General features: G+C 40.7%; 1 pseudogene; it reads left to right on the top strand.

Annotated features, from left to right (window-relative positions):
- On the top strand, positions 451 to 4,072 carry RBMX2P2 (RBMX2 pseudogene 2; annotated as a pseudogene).

The following is a 4,323-nucleotide window of genomic DNA, read 5'->3' as shown; positions in this document are numbered from 1 at the left end:
AGTTAGTCTATAGTGTCTACCCATTAAGTTCCAAAATATTAACTGCAAAGAGTTTTTTCATATAATGGCAGTTGCTCAACCTCCTGTCCTTATATTTCTATGACTCTAGTTGCTATCTTCACAGATTTGTGGAATGCTGGCACTGCAACTCTCTTTAGTGCAAACTGGCTCTGGTAATGCTGTCTGCAAAATACATTTGCTGGAAAATATATTTGCAATATGGCTACCCTGTTGGATATAAGTAGGAGAAAGGAACAATTTCTGCTGAGTTCTGTCCAAAAGACTCTCCCCTGTTACTTAGAGTCCCTATGCCCCTCACCCCATAGATACTTTTCTGTTTTCCCAACCATCAGTTATCTCCTTAACTGACACAGTTACAGTTAAAACTTGTCCCCTTGCAGGTTTGCTGGTGCTTTACTCTATTTCATACAGGTTATAAAAGTGATTGTTCTGATACCTGAACGCTGAGTGCGAGCCCGCAGAGATGAACCCTTTAAGATGAAGCCGATCAACTAGCTGAATGAGCGAGAGGTCCAGCTTGGGGTGGCCGATAAGATGTCCTGGCCTTCCGAGTACAAGGACAGTGCCTGGATCTTCCTGGGAGGGCTTCCTTATGAACTGACTGAAGGGGACATCATCTGTGTGTTCTCACAATATGGGAGATTGTTAACATCAATCTCATGCGGGACAAGAAGACTGGGAAATCCAAAGGATTCTGTTTCCTCTGCTATGAAGGCCAGAGGAGCACAATTCTGGCCATTGACAATTTTAATGGGATCAAGATCAAAGGAAGAACTATCCGAGTGGATCATGTGTCTAACTATTGGACTCCTAAGGACTCAGAAGAAATGGATAATGTGACCAAAGAGCTCCAGGAGAAGGGCTGTGGGGCTTGTACTCCCTCACCAAGTTTGTCTGAGCTCTGAAAATGAAAAACCAACAAAAAAGCACAAAAATGACAAAAAGAAAAAAAAAAGAAAAAGAGAAAATTGGCTGGGAGGTACAGGCAGAGCAACCATCCTCTTTCATCACCCAGAAGCAAGACAGTGAAAGAAAAGGATGACCCTGGCCCTGAGAAGCACAGCAGCAAGAACTCAGAGAGAGCTCAGAAGTCAGAGCCCAGGGAGGGGATGAAGCTCCCTAAGGCCAGGACTGCCTACTCTGGTGGAGCAGAGGACCTAGAGAGGGACCTGAAGAAAGAGAAACCCAAGCATGAGCACAAGTCCTCAAGCAGGAGGGAGGCAAGAGAAGAAAAGACCAGTAATAGGGACAGAGGGCGGAGCTCAGACACACATTCTAGCCAGTACAATGGGTGTTCTGAAGGGCGTAGTCATAGAAGTAAAAGTAGGAGCCGAATTTCTTTAAGTTCTTTGTAGATTCTGGATATTAGCCTTTTGTCAGATGGATAGACTGCAAAAATTTTCTCCCATTCTGTAGGGTGCCTGTTCACTCTGATGATGGTTTCCTTTGCTGTGCAGAAGCTCTTTAGTTTAATTAGATCCGATCTGTCAATTTTGGCTTTTGTTGCCATTGCTTTTGCTGTTTTAGTCAAGAAGTCTTTGCCCATGCCTATATCCTGAATGGTATTGCCTAGGTTTTCTTCTAGGGTTTTTACAATTTTAGGTCTTATGTTTAAGTCTTTAATCCATCTTGAGTTAATTTTTGTATAAGGTGTAAGGAAGGGATCCAGTTTCAGTTTTCTGCATATGGCTAGCCAGTATTCCCAACACCATTTATTAAATAGGGAATCTTTTCCCCATTGCTCTTTTTTGTCAGGTTTGTCAAAGATCAGATGGTTGTAGGTGTGTGGTGTTATTTCTGAGGCCTCTGTTCTGTTCCATTGGCCTACATATCTGTTTTGGTACCAGTACTGTGCTATTTTGGTTACTGTAGCCTTTTAGTATAGTTTGAAGTCAGGTAGCATGATGCCTCCAGCTTTGTTCTTTCTGCTTAGGATTGTCTTGGCTATACGGGCACTTTTTTGGTTCCATGTGAAATTTAAAGTAGTTTTTCTAATTCTACTTTCTAATTTCTAAGTCAATGTTGGCTTGATGGGGATAGCACTGAATCTATAAATTACTTTGGGCAGTATGGCCATTTTCACGATATTGACTCTTCCTATCCATGAGCATGGAATATTTTTCCATTTGTTTGTACCCTCTCTTATTTCCTTGAGCAGTGGTTTGTAGTTCTCCTTGAAGAGGTCCTTCACATCCCTTGTAATTTGTATTCCTAGGTATTTTATTCTCTTTGTAGCAATTGCTAATGGGAATTCACTCATGATTTGGCTCTCTGTTTGACTATTATTGGTGTATAGGAATGCCTGTGATTTTTGCACATTGATTTTGTATCCTGAGACTTTGCTGAAGTTGCTTATCAGCTTAAGGAGATTTTGGGCTGAGACGATGGGGTTTTCTAAATATACAATCATGTCATCTGCAAACAGAGACACTTTGACTTCCTCTCTTCCTATTTGAATACCTTTATTTCTTTCTCTTGCCTGATTGCCCTGGCCAGAACTTCCAATATAATGTTGAATAGGAGTGGTGAGAGAGGGTATCCTTGTCTTGTGCTGGTTTTCAAAGGGAATGCTTCCAGTTTTTGCCCACTCAGTAAGCAAATTTACAAGAAAAAAACAACCCCATCAAAACGTGGGGGGAAGGATATGAACAGACACTTCTAAAAAGAAGACATTTATGCAGTCAACAAACATATGAAAAAAAGCTCATCATCACTGGTCATTAGACAAATGCAAATCAACACCACAATGAGATATCATCTCATGCCAATTTGAATGGTGATCATTAAAAAGTCAGGAAACAACAGATGCTGGAGAGGATGTGGAGAAATAGGAATGCTTTTACACTGTTGGTGGGAGTGTAAATTAGTTCAACCATTGTGGAAGACAGTGTGGCGATTCCTCAAGGATCTAGAAGCAGAAATACCATTTGACCGAGCAATCCCATTACTGGGTATATACCCAAAGGACTATAAATCATTCTACTATAAAAACACATGGACATGTATGTTTATTGCAGCACTGTTCACAATAGCAAAGATGTGGAACCAACCCAACTGGCCATCAATGATAGACTGGATTAAGAAAATGTGGCACATATACACCATGGAATACTATGCAGTCATAAAAAAGATGAGTTCATGTCCTTTGCATGGACATGGATGAAGCTGGAAACCATCATTCTCAGCAAACTAACACAAGAACAGAAAACCAAACACCACATGTTCTCACTCATAAGTGGGAGTTGAACAATGAGAACACATGCACACAGGGAGGGGAACATCACACACTGGGGCCTGTCGGGGGGTGGGGGGCTAGGGGAGGGATAGCATTAGGAGAAATACCTAATGTAGATGACAGGTTGATGGGTGCAGCAAACCACCATGGCACATGTGTACCTGTGTAACAAACCCGCACGTTCTGCACATGTACCTCAGAACTTAAAGTATAATAATTTTTTTTTTAAAAGACGTAGGAGCCGAGATAAATCCCATAGGCATAAAAGGGCCCGGCGCTCCCGGGAGCGGGAGTCTTCGAATCCCAGTGACAGTAGGCATCACTGAAGACTGTTCAGCTGCTCAGCAGATTTAGAAATAATTATTTTTTTTAATGCAGTCAAATTTAGTTGGGTTGTTACTATTTTTGTATGTAAAACTTCTGGGGCTGTGCTTTTAATCCCTTGAGTATTAGAGTCATTGGGAGGGCTGCAGTTTCAACAGCTAGATATCCTGGATATTTTTCACACCATCTATTGTCCCTGTACCAGAATATGTGTCCTGAATTTTGGTTCGTAAATATGGCTCTTGAGCCCATAGACCCCAGTTGAAGATGGAATTTTCAGGAAAAGGAAAATAAGAGATAATTCTATAATTCTAGTCTTTGTTTTCAATGTTTAGAGCCCAGCATCATGGGACCTTTCCAGTTACTAGGTTTGGACAGCTTGATGTGAATGAATGGAGTAGGATTTTTAAGATCAACCGGCCCCATGCCCAAATCCTACTGTTTAAAAAAATTGTTAATGTCTTTTCTTTTTCATTACAACTTTTTTGTTTGGAAAAAAAAAAGTAATTGTAACTTTTGTACTCCAGTGGAATTAAAGAACTTTCAGTGTCATCTTTAATACCCTTTGTCTATTCTTCCTACAGAGATTTTGTTTAGGGAAGATGTTCACCTGAATTTACTTTTAGTTATGAGTCAGCCAATCTAAGCCACAGAAACATCTTAAATATTGAGAATGGAGGTCCCTAATGCTTTGTTGTCTGTAACTTTTGTTTTCTTTTACTCCTGGTGGAAATAGAGTAGGG

The sequence above is a fragment of the Homo sapiens genome, chromosome X (genome assembly GCF_000001405.40).
Source record: "Homo sapiens chromosome X, GRCh38.p14 Primary Assembly".
Lineage (NCBI taxonomy): Eukaryota > Metazoa > Chordata > Mammalia > Primates > Hominidae > Homo > Homo sapiens.
Note: the sequence above shows the minus strand (reverse complement) of the source record. Positions and strands in the feature narration are given on the sequence as shown.